This window comes from Homo sapiens, chromosome 4 (assembly GCF_000001405.40).
Source record: "Homo sapiens chromosome 4, GRCh38.p14 Primary Assembly".
NCBI classification, from domain to species: Eukaryota; Metazoa; Chordata; class Mammalia; order Primates; family Hominidae; genus Homo; species Homo sapiens.
In genome coordinates, this window is record NC_000004.12 from 25,231,912 (window position 1) to 25,251,604 (window position 19,693).

The 19,693-nt window shown below is 47.6% G+C and overlaps 1 protein-coding gene, 1 long non-coding RNA gene and 1 pseudogene across 9 annotated transcripts in view, besides 7 other annotated features; 2 read left to right on the forward strand and 1 right to left on the reverse strand.

Moving 5' to 3' along the window:
- Window positions 1-1,954, reverse strand: part of LOC105374535 (uncharacterized) — a 43,715-nt gene extending 41,761 nt beyond the window's left edge. For 2 of the 4 annotated variants that reach the window (XR_007058086.1, XR_925490.3), the window contains exon 1: window positions 1,878-1,954. This is a non-coding gene — a long non-coding RNA (uncharacterized LOC105374535). The remainder of the gene's footprint in view (window positions 1-1,877) is intronic. The other 2 variants (XR_001741626.2, XR_007058085.1) reach the window with 1 other exon arrangement.
- Window positions 1,912-2,221: a silencer, noted in NCBI's record as "silent region_15320". NCBI's record gives its function as "represses an Ori minimal core promoter by ATAC-STARR-seq in GM12878 lymphoblastoid cells {active_cell/tissue: GM12878}" and the evidence as "EXISTENCE:reporter gene assay evidence [ECO:0000049][PMID:35858748]".
- Window positions 1,912-3,011: a biological region, named in NCBI's record as "H3K27ac hESC enhancers GRCh37_chr4:25235481-25235982 and GRCh37_chr4:25235983-25236482".
- Window positions 1,948-2,449: an enhancer, noted in NCBI's record as "H3K27ac hESC enhancer chr4:25235481-25235982 (GRCh37/hg19 assembly coordinates)". NCBI's record gives its function as "activates a minimal SCP1, AML or CMV promoter by ChIP-STARR-seq in naive H9 embryonic stem cells {active_cell/tissue: H9 hESC(naive)}" and the evidence as "EXISTENCE:reporter gene assay evidence [ECO:0000049][PMID:30033119]".
- The window catches only part of PI4K2B (phosphatidylinositol 4-kinase type 2 beta), a 45,172-nt gene continuing 27,600 nt past the window's right edge, over window positions 2,122-19,693 (forward strand). For 4 of the 5 annotated variants that reach the window (NR_144633.2, XR_007057941.1, NM_018323.4 and 1 more), the window contains exon 1: window positions 2,122-2,520. Coding sequence is in view for 2 of the 5 variants with exons in the window: in NM_018323.4 (NP_060793.2) it covers window positions 2,253-2,520 (268 nt within the window). In the remaining 3 variants the exon portion in view is untranslated. Of the gene's footprint in view, window positions 2,521-2,652; window positions 2,832-19,693 lie in introns of those variants that run through there. The other variant, XM_005248175.5, reaches the window with a different exon arrangement.
- Window positions 2,322-2,561: a silencer, noted in NCBI's record as "silent region_15321". NCBI's record gives its function as "represses an Ori minimal core promoter by ATAC-STARR-seq in GM12878 lymphoblastoid cells {active_cell/tissue: GM12878}" and the evidence as "EXISTENCE:reporter gene assay evidence [ECO:0000049][PMID:35858748]".
- Window positions 2,450-2,949: an enhancer, noted in NCBI's record as "H3K27ac hESC enhancer chr4:25235983-25236482 (GRCh37/hg19 assembly coordinates)". NCBI's record gives its function as "activates a minimal SCP1, AML or CMV promoter by ChIP-STARR-seq in naive H9 embryonic stem cells {active_cell/tissue: H9 hESC(naive)}" and the evidence as "EXISTENCE:reporter gene assay evidence [ECO:0000049][PMID:30033119]".
- Window positions 2,602-2,661: a silencer, noted in NCBI's record as "silent region_15322". NCBI's record gives its function as "represses an Ori minimal core promoter by ATAC-STARR-seq in GM12878 lymphoblastoid cells {active_cell/tissue: GM12878}" and the evidence as "EXISTENCE:reporter gene assay evidence [ECO:0000049][PMID:35858748]".
- Window positions 2,882-3,011: an enhancer, noted in NCBI's record as "active region_21372". NCBI's record gives its function as "activates an Ori minimal core promoter by ATAC-STARR-seq in GM12878 lymphoblastoid cells {active_cell/tissue: GM12878}" and the evidence as "EXISTENCE:reporter gene assay evidence [ECO:0000049][PMID:35858748]".
- Window positions 18,634-18,728, forward strand: LOC124900916 (uncharacterized; annotated as a pseudogene).

Sequence of the window (19,693 nt, forward strand, 5' to 3'; positions counted from 1 at the left end):
GCAGCAAGAGTGAAACTCCATCTCAAAAAAAGAAAAAAAATAAGTATAACAGAAAGTCAATGGTGGAATGAAAATGAAATAATCAGAATTATTGAATTAATCCAAACGAAGGCAGGAAAGGAGGAACAGAGGAACCGAAAAGGTTAAAGCAAATAAAACCCAAATTGCAAAATAATAGATCTAAATCCAACCACATCATTATTACATTAAATGTAAATGGACCCCAAACTCCAATTAAAAGGCATTTACAGGCCAGGTGCAGTACCTCACACCTGTAATCCCAGCACTTTGGGAGGCCGAGGCGGGTGGATCATCTGAGGTCAGGAGTTCGAGACCAGCCTGGCCAATGTGGTGAAACCCTATCTCTACTAAAAAATACAAAAATTAGCCGTGCATGGTGGCAGGCACCTGTAATTACAGCTATTCTTTCTTTAAAGCGGAGAAGGCATCAGGGAAGAGGGTTGTAGGTGGTGAAGCAAATGGTTACATTTTTGCTAGACTTTAGGTAGTGCCCAGTAACTCTATGCTATGCATAAGATAAGGTGAATATTCAAAGAAAATGGAGTAAAGGAAGTTAATTATACAGATATCTCAGGTGAAGGAATGATTGATCTTATCCTTGTTCTGCATCTGGGAAGATAAGCTTGTAACTGAATTTATCCATGTGAAATTTAACAGACTTTAGTTGTACCAGTTTGATTTAGGTTGCAGACTTAAAGTTATACAATTGACACGTCCTTGTTTTATGGAAGGATATACATCTTGAAAGGTTTAAGGGCCAGTAAAGAATTTACTATGATTAATTTGTTGAGGACAGTCATCCTGAGACTGAGATGCATAAGGCTTTTTTTTGCATTTTGAGGAGGGTCTGGCTAACATATAAAGTTTTAATACAACTATGGGAAGTAACAGCTATCCATTTGGGAAAAGCATTGTAGTGTTGAGTGACTTCAGTCTCCAGGCTTAACTCTCCCTTTGACATAACAAGTTGGGGGTGGGGGGTGGTTCTGAGATTTTTATTTTCCTTTACAGGGTCAAAGAGGAAATCATAAAGGAAATTAAAAACTATTTTCAGCTGAAGGAAAACAAAAGCACAGTAGCAGGCCAGGCAAGGTGGCTTATGCTTGTAATCCCAGAATTTTGGGATGCTGAAGCAGGACGACTGCTTGAGACCAGGAGCTCAAGACCAATCTGGGCAACAGTGAGATCCCATCTCTACAAAAAATTTAAATTTAAAAATTAACAGGATGTGGTCGTGCACACCTGCAGTTCCAGCTACTGTGTCTTCTACAGTTTAAAGCTGAGAAGATCCCTTGAGCTTAGGAGGTTGAGACTGCAGTGAGCTATGATTGTGTCACTGCACTCCAGCCTGGATAACAAAGTGAGACCCTGTCTCAAAAATAACAACCACCAAGAAAAAAAAAAAGGAGAATTCAGCTAAAGCAGTGCTTAGAGGGCAATTTATAGCCTTAAAATACTAGCATTGGAAAAGCAGAAAGATCCAGAATCAATCATCTTCTACTCTAAGCAACTAGAAAAAGAAGAGGAAATCAAAACTCAAGTGAGCAATAAAGAGCAAAATAAGGCAATGGACCAGAAAACAGAAAATCAATGGAACCAAAACATGACATTTTGAAAAGATTTAAAAATTGATAAACTTCTAGCTAGATTAGTCAGAAAAAGAAAACATACAAACTGCCACTATCAAGAATATCTGAACAAAGACAAGGTCCCTGCCCTCCTGGACGTCTACTGGAGGAAAGAAATGTCATACAATTAAATCTATAGTTACAGATTATGGTAAACTCTGAGAGAGAATTCTGTCAGGGAGAAGCCGCTTTTGGTTGCAGGAGGGCACCTCTTTGAAAATTACTCACCTTCCCGCCCTCCACTGGGAGTAAAGCGAGCTGTGCCCAGCTTCTCCCCGCGCTCACGGAAGCAGGTGGCGGCCCCACCCCACCTGACCCCTCAAAAGCCCCGCCCCCTGTTCACTCCCACGTGCCCCGCTGCCGCCGCCGCCGCCGCCACGACCCTTCTGCGCAGGCGCGGGGGTGGTGCCTGGCGGAGGCGCGAGGTGGGGCGCGGCCGGCGGCGAGGCGGGACAACCGCTGGGCGGGCGCCAAGCGTGCCCGTGCGCTGGTGAGGTGGCGTCCGTTCTACCCGGTCGCTCCCGTTCCGCGCCATGCAGAGCCCAGTCTCTGGCACCTGGCTGCTCTGATCTGGTCTCAGCGCGGAGGGAGCAGAGGGAGTCCATGGAGGATCCCTCCGAGCCCGACCGGTTGGCGTCCGCGGACGGCGGGAGCCCGGAGGAGGAGGAGGATGGGGAGCGGGAGCCGCTGCTACCGCGGATCGCCTGGGCCCACCCGCGGAGAGGCGCCCCAGGCAGCGCCGTGAGGCTGCTGGACGCTGCCGGGGAGGAGGGCGAGGCCGGCGACGAGGAGCTGCCCCTCCCGCCCGGGGACGTGGGGGTCTCCCGGAGTTCGTCCGCCGAGCTGGACCGGAGCCGCCCCGCGGTTTCAGGTGCGACCCGGCCCTGCCCCACTCCCCGCGCCCCTCCGGGCGGCTGCCCCTGTCGCCCGGCTCGGTCCTGTCTCCCGCGCGCGCTGGCCGAGGTGGACGGGCTTTCCCCGCTCGCTGGGCAGCAGCTCCCGAGCTCGGACCGGCGCCAGCCGCAGCCGCACCGCGGGCACCTAGCTTGCTCGCTCTTTCTCCGGGAGCTCCCTCTCCTAAGGCCAGTGGTTGTCATTAAACCGATTCTTTAGACCTCCCCGCAAAGTGAGTCAAAACTTCTAGAAACCGACACTGGGGAGAGGTTAACGCTGTAAAATGACGTAAGTCCTTGCTCAAGTTTGGACTTGACTTTTGAATTAAGAACCTTGAACTCTCAGGAAAGTTCCCGGAGTGGTGAATTTGCAAAGTGGATGACAGGAGAGAGATGGACAGCCAGAATATCCAGTTGCCACTGGGGCACGTTTCAAAACCTTTTTCTATTAAATGTTGTTATTATGAAGTTAGCCACAGGGGGCAAAAGCAGTTGAAAGTCTGTTCCTGCCCTCTTACAGTTTAGTTTCTCTTTCTTGATTTACTTCTAATACATAAGAAAACCAAAACGAAAAACCTCTTTTCGCTATTAAGCGGACTGATAACCTCAGGCGAAACAGGGCAGTTGAAATGATGTTGAAGGTTAAATTTAGGTATGCTGTGCAGGCCTGGATATTTATTAATAAAGTGAGTTTTTCTGGCGTGTTGAATGGAGTTAGACAAATGTGATGGAAATAGCAAGAGACTTGTAAGACTCTCAGCTAGAGGTGAGACAGACTTGTTTGTAAAAAGGCGATGGTACACCTCCCTGCTGGTTGTGAGGATGGATTAAATGAGATGTTGTGCACCCGGTTGGTTTATCGCTTCACACATGACAACTTAAAAACCACAGAAAATGGAAGTTTCTTTAACACTGCTTAGTTTTTTTTGGAATTGTTAGATTTTAAATGTACTGTTAGTGGTACACTAATGTGTCCTTTACAGTTTAAAGAATTTTGGATAGAATCGGTCACTCAAGTTCTAGCTAGAGGCTACATTCAGGCATATTCTAGAGTAAATAAATCAGAGAATCCCAAGGGGAGCAGTTTGTCTGATTGTTTAAGCTTTAACCAACGTCTGCTCCCGTTATAATGTTACCTGATGGATGCATTGACGTTTAACCAAACAACGTGAAGCTGAAACCAGATCACAAACGGGTCTGCATTTGCCTAGCTACATTGGCAATTTGGGTATATGTTACTTAGAATTTAGTCTGTAAAATAGCTAGCTTGCCTTTTTCTGTCCCTTACCTTGTGTAAGCTACCTTGTGTACCTGGGTTTTTAAAAGAGCCTAAAGCCTTCAAAATGCACTTGTTCTGTGAAAGTGAGGTGTTTTATAAACAAACAGTATTAAGGCTAGAAAAAAATCAAAGCGAGAGGTCAACGAGATGGCAGGCCTGTAATCCCATCCCAGCATTTTGGGAGGTCTAGGCAGGAGAATAGCTTGAGGCTGGAAGTTCGAGACCCACCTGGGCAACATAGCGAGATCCCCATCTCTATAAAAAATAAACAACAACAACAACAAAAATTCAAAGTGAGGATAGAGTATAGTGTTAGAATACAAATGGATTCTTAGAATTCCTACCTTTTTTAAAGGTAATATCTTACCTGTATCACAGTTTACAATTTGCTAAGATCTTTTTTAAAAAAATATTTTATTCTCCACTGCACTCCAGCCTGGTTCTGTCTTGAGACAGAGCAAGACTCTGTCTCAAAAATAAATAAATAAATAAATAAATAAATAAATAAATAAATAAATAAATAAATTTTATTCTCTGTTGGGTGCCATGGCTCATGCCTGTAATCCCAGCATTTTGGAAGGCCTAGGTGGGTGGATCATTTGAGGTCAGGAGTTTTCAGACCAGCCTGGCCAACATGGTGAAACCCTGCCTCTACTAAAAATAGAAAAATTAGCCAGGCATGGTGGCGGGCGCCTGCAATTCCAGCTACTTGGGAGGCTGAGGCAGGAGAATCGCTTCTGAACCCGAGAGGTGTAGGTTGCAGTGAGCAGAGATGGCTCCACTGCACTCCAGCCTGGGTGACAGAGTGAGACTTTGTCTCAAAAAAAAAATTAATTATTTTCACAACAGCACAGCAAGTTAGTTGTTATTCGCCATTATTCTCATTATGAGGATTCAGAATTAATAAACTGGTAATGACTGGTAGCTCAGGTCTTCAGAGGTAAATGGTTTGCCCGAAGTCAAATATCCAGGAAGTAATAAATCAGGAGGAAGCCTGGTTCTTTCTTCATCTTCTGCCCCTTTTCCGTTTTGCCATGGGTCCACAAGTGTTATAAAATAATTGTGTCTGTGGTTATTTTGGAGGTTTTTACCTTTAATAGGACTTTAAAATAGTTTCTGTGAAAACTGTTTAAAAAATTTTTAAAGACTAAAATGTTCATGATTGAGTAATTTAATACTTTTTAAGTTTAGTTATTTTTTAAATGACTCCATTAACTTCATTTGTCCTTTACCATCCGATTTCCATGAAACTACCTCACTAGTTCCAAGAAATTCTTGCCTTTAGATTAATATGAACATCATTTATGATGCTTAACTCTTACTTATATAAGCAAGAGGTTTATGTACTTTAGCCAGTGGAAGAATGTCATATGTCTGTTATCTTCAACAAGGCATTTAACAAAGCCTACAAACAGCATAAACCATAGTGTTGTTGGATCAGTGTCAAAGTGGAAGGATTAGTGCATTCCTTGTTCTAGTTATTTTAATCAGTGAATTCGGTAGTAATGACAGCTAATGCCTACATAGCAGTTAATATGCGCTAGGCATAGTTCTGTATGCTTCATATATATTAATTCATAACCAACCCTGTGATGTGAGTACTATTTTTGTTTTTTTTTTTTGTTTTTGGCAGTGGGTGGCTGTAGGGGTGGCAGTGGGGGAACAGAGTTTCATTCCTGTCACCCAGGCTGGATTGTAATGGCGTAATCTCGGCTAACTGCAACCTCCACTCCCCAGGTTCAAGCGATTCTCCTGCCTCACCCTCCCAAGTAGCTGGGATTACAGGCACATGCCTGGCTAATTTTGTATTTTTAGTAGAAACGGGGTTTCACCATGTTGGTCAGGCTGGTCTCGAACTCCTGACCTCAGATGATCCTCCCGCCTCGGCTTCCCAGAGCACTGAGATTACAAGGCCACCATGCCTGGCCTTGTTCTCATTTTAAGAAAGTATAGGGAGAGGCTGGGCATGGTGGCTTACGCCTGTAATCCTAACACTTTGGGAGGCCTCTTTGGTGCACACCTGTAGTCCAAGCTACTCAGGAGACCGAGGCAGGAGGATTGCTTGAGTCCATGAGTTTCAGGTTACACTGAGTCCAGTGAGCTATAATTGCACCACTATACTCCAGCCTGGGTTACAGAAAAAGACCCTGTCTCAAAAGAAAAAAAGAAAAAGCACAAAGAAGTGAAGTGACTTCTCCAAGGTCCCAGTTAATACAAATCAGGAGCGCTTAGCTCCTGTTAGAGAGCCTAACAGTTAGAAAACAGTGTTAGAATTCACAAAGAGCTGCCAAAGTAAAAGAAAATGTGAATTTGTAAGTCATTTAATGATTCATGGTGGTTTATAAATATGTGAACAGAATAAGAAAATCATTTAAAAGGAAGAAAGATGAGAAGATGGAGCCTGGAGTAAGATTACACAAGATGTACCTCAGATGCTTGATGCAGGCAACCCACAGATTTGATTTTTGAAATTACTGAGCAGCTAACTTGAGAGAAACACAATCATGTGGTCTATACAGTTAAAATAAACTGGTTATTTGAACCAAAACAGAACAGACAAAGGGTAGCCTGTCACAGTCTCTTGGTGAATGCTGTATGCTGAACAATATCTGTGATTAAAGTGATTAATTTCATAAAGGTAGTTCTTATAACTTCCCTAAAGTCCATTTCAGCAGAAATGGTTTTAACTACTGGTGCTATTGTGTCCGGAATTGGTGGGTTCTTGGTCTCACTGACTTCAAGAATGAAGCCATGGACCCTCGCGGTTAGTGTTACAGTTCTTAAAGGCGGTGTGTTCGGAGTTTGTTCCTTCTGATGTTCGGATGTGTTCGGAGTTTCTTCCTTCTGGTGGGTTCGTGGTCTCGCTGGCTCAGGAGTGAAGCTGCGACCTTCACGGTGAGAGTTATGGCTCTTAAGCTGGCGCGTCTGGAGTTGTTCATTCCTCCTGGTGGGTTCCTGGTCTCGCTGGCTTCAGGAGTGAAGCTGCAGACCTTTGCGGTGAGTGTTACAGCTCATAAAGGCAGTGTGGACCCAAAGAGTGAGCAGCAGCAAGATTTATTGCAAAGAGCGAAAGAACAAAGCTTCCACAGTGTGGAAGGGGACCTGAGCAGGTTGCCACTGCTGGTTCGGGCAGCCTGCTTTTATTCCCTTATCTGGCCCCACCCACATCCTGCTGATTGGTCCATTTTACAGAGCACTGATTGGTCTGTTTTACAGAGAGCTGATTGGTCCATTTTGACAGGGTGCTGATTGGTGCGTTTACAATCCCTGAGCTAGACACAAAAGTTCTCCAAGTCCCCACTAGATTAGCTAGATACAGAGCACTGATTGGTGCATTTACAAACCTTGAGCTAGATACAGAGTGCTGATTGGTGTATTTACAATCCCTTAGCTAGACATAAAGGTTCTCTAAGTCCCCACTAGACTCAGGAGTCCAGCTGGCTTCACCCAGTGGATCCCACACTGGGGCCACAGGTGGAGCTGCCTGCCAGTCCCGTGCCTTGCGCCCACACTCCTCAGCCCTTGGGTGGTCGATGGGACGGGGCACCATGGAGCAGGGGGTGGCGCTTGTTGGGGAGGCTCGGGCTGTGCAGGATCCCACAGCAGCAGGGGGAGGCTCAGGCATGGCCGGCTGTAGGTCCTGAGCCCTGCCCTACGGGGAGGCAGCTAAGGCCCAGTGAGAAAGCGAGCACGGTGCCGGCCCAGGGGGACCCAGCAGCACCCTCTGCAGCTGCTGGCCTAGGTGCTAAGCCCTTCACTGCCCGGGGCCGGTGGGGCCGGCCAGCCGCTCCGACTGCGGAACCTGCCAAGCCCATGCCCACCCGGAACTCGCGCTGGCCCGCAAGTGCCACACGCAACCCCAGTTCCCGCCCACACCTGTCCCTCCACACCTCCCCACAAGCTGAGGGAGCTGGCTCTGGCCTCAGCTAGTCCAGAAAGGGGCTCCCACAGTGCAGTGGCGGGCTGAAGGGCTCCTCAAGTGCGGCCAGAGTGGGCGCCGAGGCCGAGGAGGCGCCGAGAGTGAGCGAGGGCTGCAAGGGCTACCAGCACACTGTCACCTCTCAATCCCCCCTCTAAACAGGACACCCCAACTGCTGTTGGGAATTTGGCCAATGACTGCTCTAGCTACTTCCTGCTGGATAGGGGCAATGAAGTGGCCCTGCAGTTTTAGTGTCCTCCAGAGGGGAGCTCTCTAGGCCAGTAAAAGTGCCAGCAGGTTGGTCCAGGGGTCCTCAGTAGAATTTGTTAGTTGAACTCATTTGGGGTTCCATTTGTAAGACCATTTGTAGCTTGATGGCCTCGATGCTAGAGGAAACAAATTTGACAAGAAGGTTAAAAATACAGGGTCCAAAGGCAAGTAACAGCAAGATGGCTGCCACAGGACCTAGAAAGGGGAGAAGTCATGTTGCCCAACTCCAGAGGTTGGTATAAGAGTTTGAAAGGCATTGTCTGATTTCAGAAGCCTTTTCCTGTAAACACCAGGTGGCATCTCGTACTGGTTAGTGTAAAAATAACACTCTTCCCCTAAGAAGGTGCAGAGTCCTTTCTCAGCAGCGAAGAGGTCTAGGCCTTGGCGGTTTTGGAGATTCACTGCTGCCAAAGAGTCTATTTGGGATTGTAGAGTAAGGATAGATTTTGTTATTTCTTGCAAACTGTCTGAAAAATCCTTTGAGAGTGTGTGGTAGTAGAATAATGAAGTAGATAAACTGGCTATTCTGGTTCCTGTAGCAGTAGCCATTCCTAACCCTATAAGTAGGGGTATTAATTGTATGGCTCTGCACTAATGGAGTTGAGCTTTGAGGGGTACTGATAGGGTCTGATTTCCTGGGGCAATGGTAATGTTGGGACTTAGAAAGACTAAGGTGCAGGTGCCAGTCCAGTTAGTGGGGAGGCAGATATTGGTCGATGTTCCACATAACAAGAATATGCCTTGGCTGGGTAGACAGAAATTTACCCTGGCTTTTAAAGGAATAGGGTATGCTGTTTTTCTTTACTACTTCCATCTCTCTTTCTTTCTCTTTGATTTCTTTGTCTCTTCCTCTCTTTCTGACTCTCTGACTTTGTGTCTGTCCCTCTTTCTTTCTGACTCCTTCTCTTTGTCACTTTCTCTTTGACTCTCTGTTTCTTCCTCTCTCTGTCTCCTTCTCTTTGTCTCTCTGTTTCTGTCTCTCTGTCTCTTCCTCTCTGTCTCTTTCTTTGACTTCCTGTCTCTTTCCTTCCTACTGGTCTTTCCCTGCCTCTGCCAGCCACTTATGCTGCTGTTCTCCCCTCTTCTTCCCCTTTTTGATGGCTTTGGCAGTGTAAGACTGCCACCCCCTTGGGTTTTTTGCACTGCATGCAATAACTCTATAATTTCCTTGTGGTATTTAGTGGGGGTTCCCCCGGAGGTTAGGAACTCCCTTTCTTTCCACATTGCAGCATGGGCATGTAGGATTAGATAAGCATACATGCTATCTGTATACACATTTATTCTTTTTCCCTTTCCCAGTTCTAAGGCTCTGGTAAGTGCCACTAGTTCTGCTAACTGGACACTGGTCCCTGGGGGAAGAGGCTTACTTTCAAGTATGGTTACATCACTAACTATGGTGTAACCTGCCCTTCGTATCCCATTCTCCACAAATGAACTTCCATCGGTATATAGGTTAAGGTCAGGATTAGTTAAGGGGACTTCTAAGAGATCATCTTGGGTGGCATAAATCTGGACTATAATTTGTTGGCAGTCATGCTCGATTGGTTCCCCATCCTCTGGGAGAAAAGTGGCAGGGTTGAGGGCCATGCATGTGCGTATTTGAAGCACTGGTCCCTCAAGGAGTAGCACCTGGTATCTAAGTAGGCGGTTGTCTGATAGCCATAAACTTCCTTTGGCACCTAGTATGCCATTTACATCATGAGTAGTCCAGACAGTGAGATCCTTTCCTTGTATGATTTTGATAGTTTCTGACACCAAGACGGCCACTGCTGCAACTACACTTAAACAGTGAGGCCAGCCTTTTGCTACTACATCAGTTTCCTTACTTAGGTATGCCACTGGTTGTGGGGTTGTCCCAGGAGTCTGAGTAAGGACTCCAAGAGCTATCTCGGCTCCCTCTGTGACGTATAAAGAGAAGTTTTGTCCTGTGGGAAGGCTTAAAGCTGGAGCTTGTACTAGGGCCTGCTTTAAGGTTTTGAAGGCTGTTTCTGCCTCTGGTTCCCATTCTACTAGATGAGTATTTGCCCTCTGGGTTTCCTTGTTTAGAGTATAGAGGGGCCTGGCTATCTCGCTGTATCCAGGGATGCATAGTCAGCAAAAGCCGGTAATTCCAAGGAACCCACTTAACTGTTTTAATGTCTTAGGGTGAGGATAAGCCAGTATAGGCTGTATTCGTTCCTTGCTGAGGGCCCTGGTCCCTCTGGCTAAGATTAGGCCTAGATATTTGACCTGCTGTAGGCAAAGCTGGGCCTTCGACCTAGACACCTTGTACCCTTGATTAGCTAGAAAGTTCAAGAGATCTAGAGTAGCCTGCTGGCATGAGGCTTCCAAACTGGCAGCCAAAAGTAAATCATCCACATATTGAAGGACCAGAGTGCCTGGACTTGAGAAGTGGCCTAGACCTTGGGCCAGTGCCTGACTAAACAGATGAGGGCTATCCCTAAACCCCTGGGGCAAGACCTTCCACGTAAGTTGGGACTTGTGGTCTGTGGGATCCTCAAAGGCAAAGAGGAACTGGGAGTCAGAGTGCAGGGGAATACAGAAGAAGGCATACTTGAGGTCCAGAACCGTGAACCATTCTGCTTCCTCCGGTATTTGAGAGAGCAGGGTATTGGGGTTGGGTACCACTGGATATAGAGGAATTACTGCCTCATTGATGAGTCTAAGATCTTGCACTAGTCTCCACTGACCATTCAGTTTTTGTACTCCCAGAATTGGGGTGTTGCAGGGACTGCTGCATTTCCTTACTAAGCCTTGAGCTTTCAAATGTTTAACAATATTCTGTAATCCTTTATGAGTTTTAGGCCTTACCAGATATTGCCTTTGGTAAGGAAAAGTGGTGGGATCTTTTAACCTGATTTGGACTGGCTGGGCATTTTTTGCCCTTCGAAAGTGTCCTTCCAATGCCCAGACTTCAGGGTTGATTCCCTCCTCAAGTAGGGGACAACAAATGGGTAACTTGTTCCCTATATTCATGCAGATAACAGCTCCAGCCTTGGCTAATATATCCCTCCCTAATAAGGGTGTGGGACTTTCAGGCATAACAAGAAATGCATGTGAAAAGAGCAAAGTCTCCCAATTACAACTGAGGAGGTGGGAGAAATACCTGGTTACAGGCTGTCCCAGGATTCCTCAGATGGTAGTGGACCTTGAGGACAGTCGTCCAGGACAGGAGATTAACACTGAGAAGGCCGCGCCCGTGTCCAGGATGAAGTCAATTTCCTGGCCCTCAATAGTTAAACATACCCAGGGCTCAGTGAGGGTGATGACATGAGCTGGCGCTTGCCCCGGGCACCCTCAGTCCTGTTGTTGGATCATCTGGTTGGGGGCTTCTGACCCAGGGAACCTTCGTCCTCTGGGGCAGTGCACCTTCCAGTGATTGCTTCGGCATAGTGGACATGGATGAGGGGGCAGCTTGTTTCTCATTGGACAATCTTTTTTAAAGCATCCTAGTAAACCACACTGATAACAAGCCCTACCGGGTGATTGGCCTGCTCCATTTTCTGTCCTCTCTGAACCACCAAGGTTTGTTTGTCTGAGGGCCATGACTAAGGCTGCGGCCTTTCTCTGATCTTGCTTTTCCTTTTGGGCCCGTTCCTTTTGGTCCCTATTATAGAACACCGAGGTTGCCAGGTTTAATAATGCCTCTAGATTTTGTTCAGGGCCCAGGCCTTGCTTTTGGAGCTTTCTCCTGATATCTGTGGCTGATTGGGTAATAATTATCTTTTAGAATCAATTGACCCTCGAGTGATTCAGGTGACTGGGGAGTATATTTTCTTAAGGCCTCTCGTAGCCGCTCGAGGAAGGCAGAAGGATTTTCTTCCTTTCCCTGAGTTATGGTGGACATCATTGAATAATTCATGGGCTTTTTTCTAATTCTCAGTCTTTCTAGAACACAGGTCGACAGATGTTTACGACTCCAGTCCCCATGATCTGGTCAAGGTCCCAGTGGGGATCCATACTGGGGATGGCTTGCTGACTGGTAGGGAATTTGTCCCTTTCTTCGGCTGTCATTCTATCATTTACTTGACTAAGACACCAGGTATCTCCAAACTCTTGGGCTGCATCTAAAGTCACATTCTTCTCATTAAAGGCCAGGATTTGATCTAAGAGTAGCATGACATCTCTCCAAGCAAGGTCGAAGGTTTGCCCTAGACCCTTTAGGACATCTATGTACCTATCAGGATCATCTGAAAACTTCCCCAGGTCTGCCTTGATCTGCTTTAAATCAGAGAGGGAGAAGGGGACATGTACCCAGGTTGGGCCAAATTCCCCTCCCCCTACAGCTTGAAGGGGACATAACCAATAGCCCGGGGGTTTGTGGTCCTTTGGAGATTTTTTTGCTTATTTCCTTCTGGGCAGGGGAGATTAGAGGAGGATTATCATTAATAGGAAGGGGAGCTATAGGGAGGCTAGGATATGGGGGTAAGCTGAGAAGTCCTCCTGTGGGATGTAAGTTGTAAGCTTTGCATAGTTGTGTATTCTCCCTCAATGAAAAGAAAGCTTGGACATAAGGTATTTCACTTCATTTGCTTTCCCTCTTACAGAAAAGGTCAAGCTGCTAGATAGTATTGTAATTTATACTTCCCTCAGGTGGCCATTTTTCCCCATCAGAGAGAGAATATTGGGGCCAAGCCATAGTGCAGAAAAAAATGAGCCGCCTCTTTTTCAGGGTTTATGGGTCAAATTGGTCCCAATGGCTTAGGATGCATTTCAAGGGTGAGTCTGTTGATGCCTGAGTGTTTCCCATCTGAAAGACAAAACCGCCTGCAGTTTTGGTTTGTTTTGTTTCTCCCCCTGCCCAAGAACCCGCAACGGTCCCTGGACCCTGCTGATCGGAATAGTTGCGCTCACTGACGCAGCAGCAGAAACAACCCCTGCCCAAGAACCCGCAACGGTCCCTGGACCCTGCTGATTGGAATAGTTGTGCTTAGTGACCCTTACCGACCCTTACCGACGCATTCTCAAAAACCTGTTAAGAGTCCTAAGCATTCTCCTGTTAGTATTGGGACTTTACCCCTGTCCTATAAAGATGTTATGCCCCAAAAATGAAGTGGAGAGCCATACCCTGAGGGAGGGAAGGGATCTCCAGGGTTGGAAGAGTGACACCTTTTGTCCTCACTTATATGAATAGGAAGGATACAATTTCTGAGGCTCCCCATATCCTAGCTTCAGGAATAGCTTTTGTTAGGCCTATTAGTCTGAGGAGGGATCCTAAAGTTCCAGGTAGTCCCCACTACGATGGGGCTTCGGGCAAAAATTATGTCTTTCTGATTGGTGAGCCTGGGTGCCTAAAGAAGGTAACAGTTTATACTAGAAGTCATTTTATAGGAGAAACTAGAAGAGCACCAGAGACAGGTAGCAATTTTTAGAAGCGGGACTAACCTCGGAGAAGAGAGGCGAGAGGAAGTTTGTCTGGCAGGCACTAGGACCCAGGGGGTAAGGGTCAGGATAGATAGGATAGATGGGCAAATCTCGCTTGGGTGACATGCCTTGGAGAGTTCCGCTCATGGCCGCAGGGTCAACCAAGTTGTTGGTACCTGCGGAGCTGCATGGCTTTCCTCTCTGTCGACCCTCGGCTCAGCCCAAAAGTACAGGAAAAGTGGAAGCTGGTTCTAGGCAAACCAACGCTCCCAACTCTGAAGAGTCTGGGGTTGTTAGAGAGCCCTTTCCCAGAAAGCCTGAGACCCGTGTCTTTAGTCCAGTGGCCATGCTAGTCGCTTTTAACTGGCCGACAGGTGCCCGGTATTTAGCCCCCGTTCTAAGGAAAAATAGGACAGAATAGCAAGTGAAAGGGGTCCGATGGCACTCACTGCTTGGTGATAGGTGACAGTCTCACTGCTCAGCGATAGGCGATGGTCTCACTGCTCGGTGATAGTCTCACCACTTGGCGATAGGCGATAGTCCCTTTGTTTAGCAATGGGCAGTTGTCTCACTGCTTGGCGAGTCTCACTGCTTGGCAATAGGCGATAGTCCCATCTGGGTCATCAAAATGTGTCCGGAATTGGTGGGTTCTTGGTCTCACTGACTTCAAGAATGAAGCCACGGACCCTCCCAATGAGTGTTACAGTTCTTAAACGCAGTGTGTCCGGAGTTTGTTCCTTCTGATGTTCGGATGTGTTCGGAGTTTCTTTCTTCTGGTGGGTTCGTGGTCTCGCTGGCTTCAGGAGTGAAGCTGCAGACCTTCGCGGTGAGTGTTACAGCTCAGAAAGGCAGTGTGGACCCAAAGAGTGAGCAGCAGCAAGATTTATTGCAAAGAGCGAAAGAACAAAGCTTCCACAGTGTGGAAGGGGACCTGAGTGGGTTGCCACTGCTGGTTCGGGCAGCCTGCTTTTGTTCCCTTATCTGGCCCCACCCACATCCTGCTGATTGGTCCATTTTACAGAGCGCCGATTGGTCTGTTTTACAGAGAGCTGATTGGTCCGTTTTGACAGGGTGCTGATTGGTGCGTTTACAATCCCTGAGCTAGACACAAAAGTTCTCCATGTCCCCACTAGATTAGCTAGATACAGAGCACTGATTGGTGCATTTACAAACCTTGAGCTAGATACAGAGTGCTGATTGGTGTATTTACAATCCCTTAGCTAGACATAAAGGTTCTCTAAGTCCCCACTAGACTCAAGAGCCCAGCTGGCTTCACCCAGTGGATCCCACACTGGGGCCACAGGTGGAGCTGCCTGCCAGTCCCACGCCTTGTGCCCACACTCCTCAGCCCTTGGGCAGTTGATGGGACCAGGCACCATGGAGCAGAGGGTGGTGCTTGTTGGGGAGGCTCGGGCTGCACAGGAGCCCACGGCGGCGGGGGGAGGCTCAGGCATGGCCGGCTGCAGGTCCCGAGCCCTGCCCTGTGGGGAGGCAGCTAAGGCCCTGCGAGAAATTGAGCGCAGCGCTGGCCCAGGGGGACCCAGCAGCACCCTCTGCAGCTGCTGGCGCGGGTGCTAAGCCCCTCACTGCCTGGGGCCTGGCGGGGCAGGCCGGCTGCTCCCAGTGTGGGGCCTGCCCAGCCCATGCCCACCTGGAACTTGCGCTGGCCTGCAAGCGCCGCATGCAGCTCCAGTTCCCACCCGCACCTGTCCCTCCACACCTCCCCACAAGCTGAGGGAGCTGGCTTTGGCCTTCGCCAGCCCAGAAAGGGGCTCCCCCAGTGCAGTGGCAGGCTGAAGAGCTCCTCAGGCACGGCCAGAGTGGGCACCTAGGCCAAGGAGGTGTGGTGAGTGAGCAAGGGCTGCCAGCATGCTGTCACCTCTCACTATCTGTATTGTCTTATCTAGGTTCAACATACTGATAATCTGGTTTAGTTTAGAGGAAGGTTTTAGCAGAGTAGATGTTCCATGTGTTTTGACCATTTTCCATAAGTGAGCTTTTGAAAGTCCGTGAGTGGCGGTGTGTTGGAGAGTATTTCTCAACCAGTGCATATAATACATTGTTTTCCATCCATTGCAGACATGCATCATTCATCAAATATTTTGAGTGCCTACTGGGTGCAGTGGAAATGAAGGCTTTGGAGAAACAATAGTGACCTGTATTAGATGGATGCCTGTTCACCTGCCCTATCCTCTTACAGCTTTATAGCCTAATGGAGGAAACAGTCAAACAAACGGTCCTAACAGACTGTATATATGTGCTTGGATGGGGAAAGTTGTGCATTGAGGCATGGAGCCATGCCCTAGATGTAGGGGCCAGGGAAGACTTAGAGAAAGTGGCATCCAGTTCAAGACCTGAAGGGTGAATAGCGCCAAAAGCCCTGAGGCTGGGTTCAATGCACCAAATTTGTGAACACCTCAAGTTTCTTTTTTTTTTTGAGACAGGGTCTTATTCTGACACTCAGGCTGAGTGCAGTGGCATGATCACGGCTCACTGCTGCCTTGAACTCCTGGGCACAAGTGATCCTCCCACCTTAGCCTCTTGAGTAGCTGGGACTACAGGTACATGCCACTATACCCAGCTAATTTTTTATTTTTTGTGGAGATAGGGTCTCACTATGTTGCCCAGGCTGGTCTTGAACTCCTGGACACAAGTGACCCTCCTGCCTCAGTCTCCCAACATGCTGGGATTACAGGCGTGAGCCACTGCACCCCAGCCAGTGAACATCTATTTTTTTCTGGAAAATATTCTGGTTAGTGAGTAAGATATGGTAAAGATGGGTAGGTTTAGGTTTACAGTTCTAATCCTCAAGAGAGAAAGAGTTTATTTTGATTTATTTATCTGAAATGAAAACTTGATAAGTTACATACTTCATACATACTTACTTCATACATACTTCAATTGTGCTAAATAAAAAAGGTTATATAATGAGTTCTCTTATTTTTAGTTCTCCATTTTTAGTTTCTGCATTTTAAAGGACCAGTAATAACCCTTAGGTGTGGTAAAGGCAAGGTCATTCAGCAAGTGTTTATTAAGTGCTTATTATGTTCCAGGAACATAATAAATTCTGTAAGTTCTGGGGTTACAGCAGTGAAATAAGTTCTCGTTTTGGAGTTTCTCTTGTCTTGGAGTTTCCTGGTTTCTTGGAGCACCCAAAATAAATACACAGTAGAGTAGGTGGTAAGTGCTAAATAGAAAAGTAAAGTGGAGGTTAGAGATTGGGTAAGGGTCTTGGGGGTCATAATGATGTGGACTTATTGTGAGATGGGAAATAAATGGACTGCTTGGTCCAAAAGAGTGACATGATGTATGGTTTTTTTTTTTTTACATTAAATGTTTATTTGAAATCAAATGATTTTGTACATAAAGTTCAATAATATAAAAGCTGTATTCTGTTTTGAGTTTTTTTGTTATTATGCATTGTTAACATGTACATTAAAATTTTGATTTAGATAGCATAGTAAGAATTCAGCCTCAAATGAGTCAGAGCTAATAATTAGGAAAATCTTTTATTTTTATTTTTATTTTTTTAATTTTTTTAGTATTTATTGATCATTCTTGGGTGTTTCTCGGAGAGGGGGATTTGGCAGGGTCATAGGACAATAGTGGAGGGAAGGTCAGCAGATAAACATGTGAACAAAGGTCTCTGGTTTTATAGGCAGAGGGCCCTGCCGCCTTCCGCAGTGTTTGTGTCTCTGGGTACTTGAGATTAGGGAGTGGTGATGACTCTTAACGAGTATGCTGCCTTCAAGCATCTGTTTAACAAAGCACATCTTGCACCGCCCTTAATCCATTTAACCCTTAGTGGACACAGCACATGTTTCAGAGAGCGCCGGGTTGGGGGTAAGGTTATAGATTAACAGCATCCCAAGGCAGAAGAATTTTTCTTAGTACAGAACAAAATGGAGTCTCCTATGTCTACTTCTTTCTACACAGACACAGTAACAATCTGATCTCTCTTTCTTTTCCCCACATTTCCCCCTTATCTATTCGACAAAACCGCCATCGTCATCATGGCCTGTTCTCAGTGAGCTGTTGGGTACACCTCCCAGACAGGGTGGCGGCCAGGCAGAGGGGCTCATCACTTCCCAGACGGGGTGGCCGGGCAGAGGCGCCCCTCCACCCCCCGGACAGGGCGGCTGGCCGGGCGGGGGCTGCCCCCCGCCTCCCGGATGGGGCGGCTGGCCGGGCGGGGGCTGCCCCCCGCCTCCCGGACGGGGTGGCTGCCGGGCGGAGGGGCTCCTCACTTCCCAGATGGGGCGGCTGCCGGGCGGAGGGGCTCCTCACTTCCCAGATGGGGCGGCTGCTGGGCGGAGGGGCTCCTCACTTCTCAGATGTGGCGGCCGGTCAGAGACACTCCTCACCTCCCAGATGGGGTGGCGGCAGGGCAGACACTCCTGGGTTCCCAGACGGGGTGGCGGCCGGGCAGAGGCACTCTTCACATCTCAGACGGGGCGGCGGGGCAGAGGCCCTCCCCACATCCCAGACGATGGGCGGCCAGGCAGAGACGCTCCTCACTTCCTAGACGGGGTGGCGGTCGGGCAGAGACTGCAATCTCGGCACTTTGGGAGGCCAAGGCAAGTGGCTGGGAGGTGGAGGTTGTAGTGAGCCGAGATCACGCCACTGCACTCCAGCCTGGGCAACACTGAGCACTGAGTGAGCGAGACTCCGTTTGCAATCCCGGCACCTCGGGAGGCCGAGGCTGGCAGATCACTCACGGTCAGGAACTGGAGACCAGCCCGGCCAACACGGCGAAACCCCGTCTCCACCAAAAAATACGAAAACCAGTCAGGCGTGGCAGCGCGCGCCTGCAATCCCAGGCACTTGGCAGGCTGAGGCGGGAGAATCAGGCAGGGAGGTTGCAGTGAGCCGAGATGGCGGCAGTACAGTCCAACCTCGGCTCCGCATCAGAGGGAGACCGTGCAAAGAAGAGGGAGAGGGGAGAGGGGAGAGGGAGAGGGAGAATGTTTTAAGAGCCATAAAAAAGAACGAGATCATGTCCTTTGCAAGGACATGAATGGAGCAGGAGGCCATTAGCCTCAGTGAACTAACACAGGAACAGAAAACCAAACAACCACGTGTTCTCACTAATAAGTGGGAGCTAAATGATGAGAACACACAGACACATAGAGGGGAACAACATATACCAGGGCCTTTCAGAAGGTGGAGGGTAGGAGGAGGGAGAGTCAGGAACAGTAACTAATGGGTACTAGGTTTAATACCTAGTGATTACCTGGGTGATTGCTTAATACCTGAGTGATTGCTTCTCTGTCTTTTGGCTAAGATCAAGTGTAGTATCTGTTCTTACCAGTTTAATACCTAGGTGATGAAATAATCTGTACAACAAACCCCCAAGATAGAAGTTTACCTATGTAACCTGCACTTGTACCCTTGAACTTAAAAGTTACAAAGAAAAAGTATTACTAGCTTCTCTGTTAGGTATAGAGAGGGACTGGGTGAGAGAGGGAGACCAGTTAGGAGGCTCTTAGAATAATCGAGGTGAGAGCCGATGGTAACCTGAATCATGTGGAAGGAATGGAGATGGCAAGAGGTGGTTGGATTCTGGGTATTTATTTAAGGTAGAGCCAATACAACCTGCTGATTGGATGTAGAGGGTAAGCGTGTGAGATCATGGATGATTATAAGGTTTTTGGCCTAAGCAACTGGAAGATTTGGAGGTGCCAGCAACTGCAATATGGGAAACGTAGGGATGAAGCCTTTGGGAGGCGTAAAGGTGAAGAATGAAGTTTTGGGTAGTGAAGTTTGAGATGTCTATTACGCATCCAAGTGGAGATGTTGAATACAGTTGTCGAGTTTAGGGCAGAAGTCCAGGCTTGAATTAGAAATTTGGGAGTCACCAGTGTTGGTAACGGAGAGAAGAGGACTGTGAATGGAACCTGGGCCATTCCAAAGTTAAGTAGTTGGTAATAAATGCAGTGCTGGGGGCTGGTCGTAGTATTTTGTGATTGCTGCTTATTTCTTAATGAAATAGGAAGCTAGATCCTCTCCTGAGAGAGAGGATGGAAGAGGAGGTGTTGGGAATTTGAGGAGAGAAATTGGCTCATGTGCATTTCTTTAATTCCGCTGCCCTGGTGCAGGCATGGAGTTGGTAGACAGTTGGGTTTAACCAGGACTGGGAGTTTTGCAGGTGACCATGATGAAGGGAGAAAGAAAGAGTTGATTTTGTGAAGACCCAGCATAATTTAAGCTGGCCAAGGAGGAGGGAAGCAAGGACATGAAGGGAGAGAATTCCAGTGACGTGGGGGAGCAGTCCTTTGTAGGTTCTAGTAGGGCAGAAGAATATTTGGACTCGGAGTGC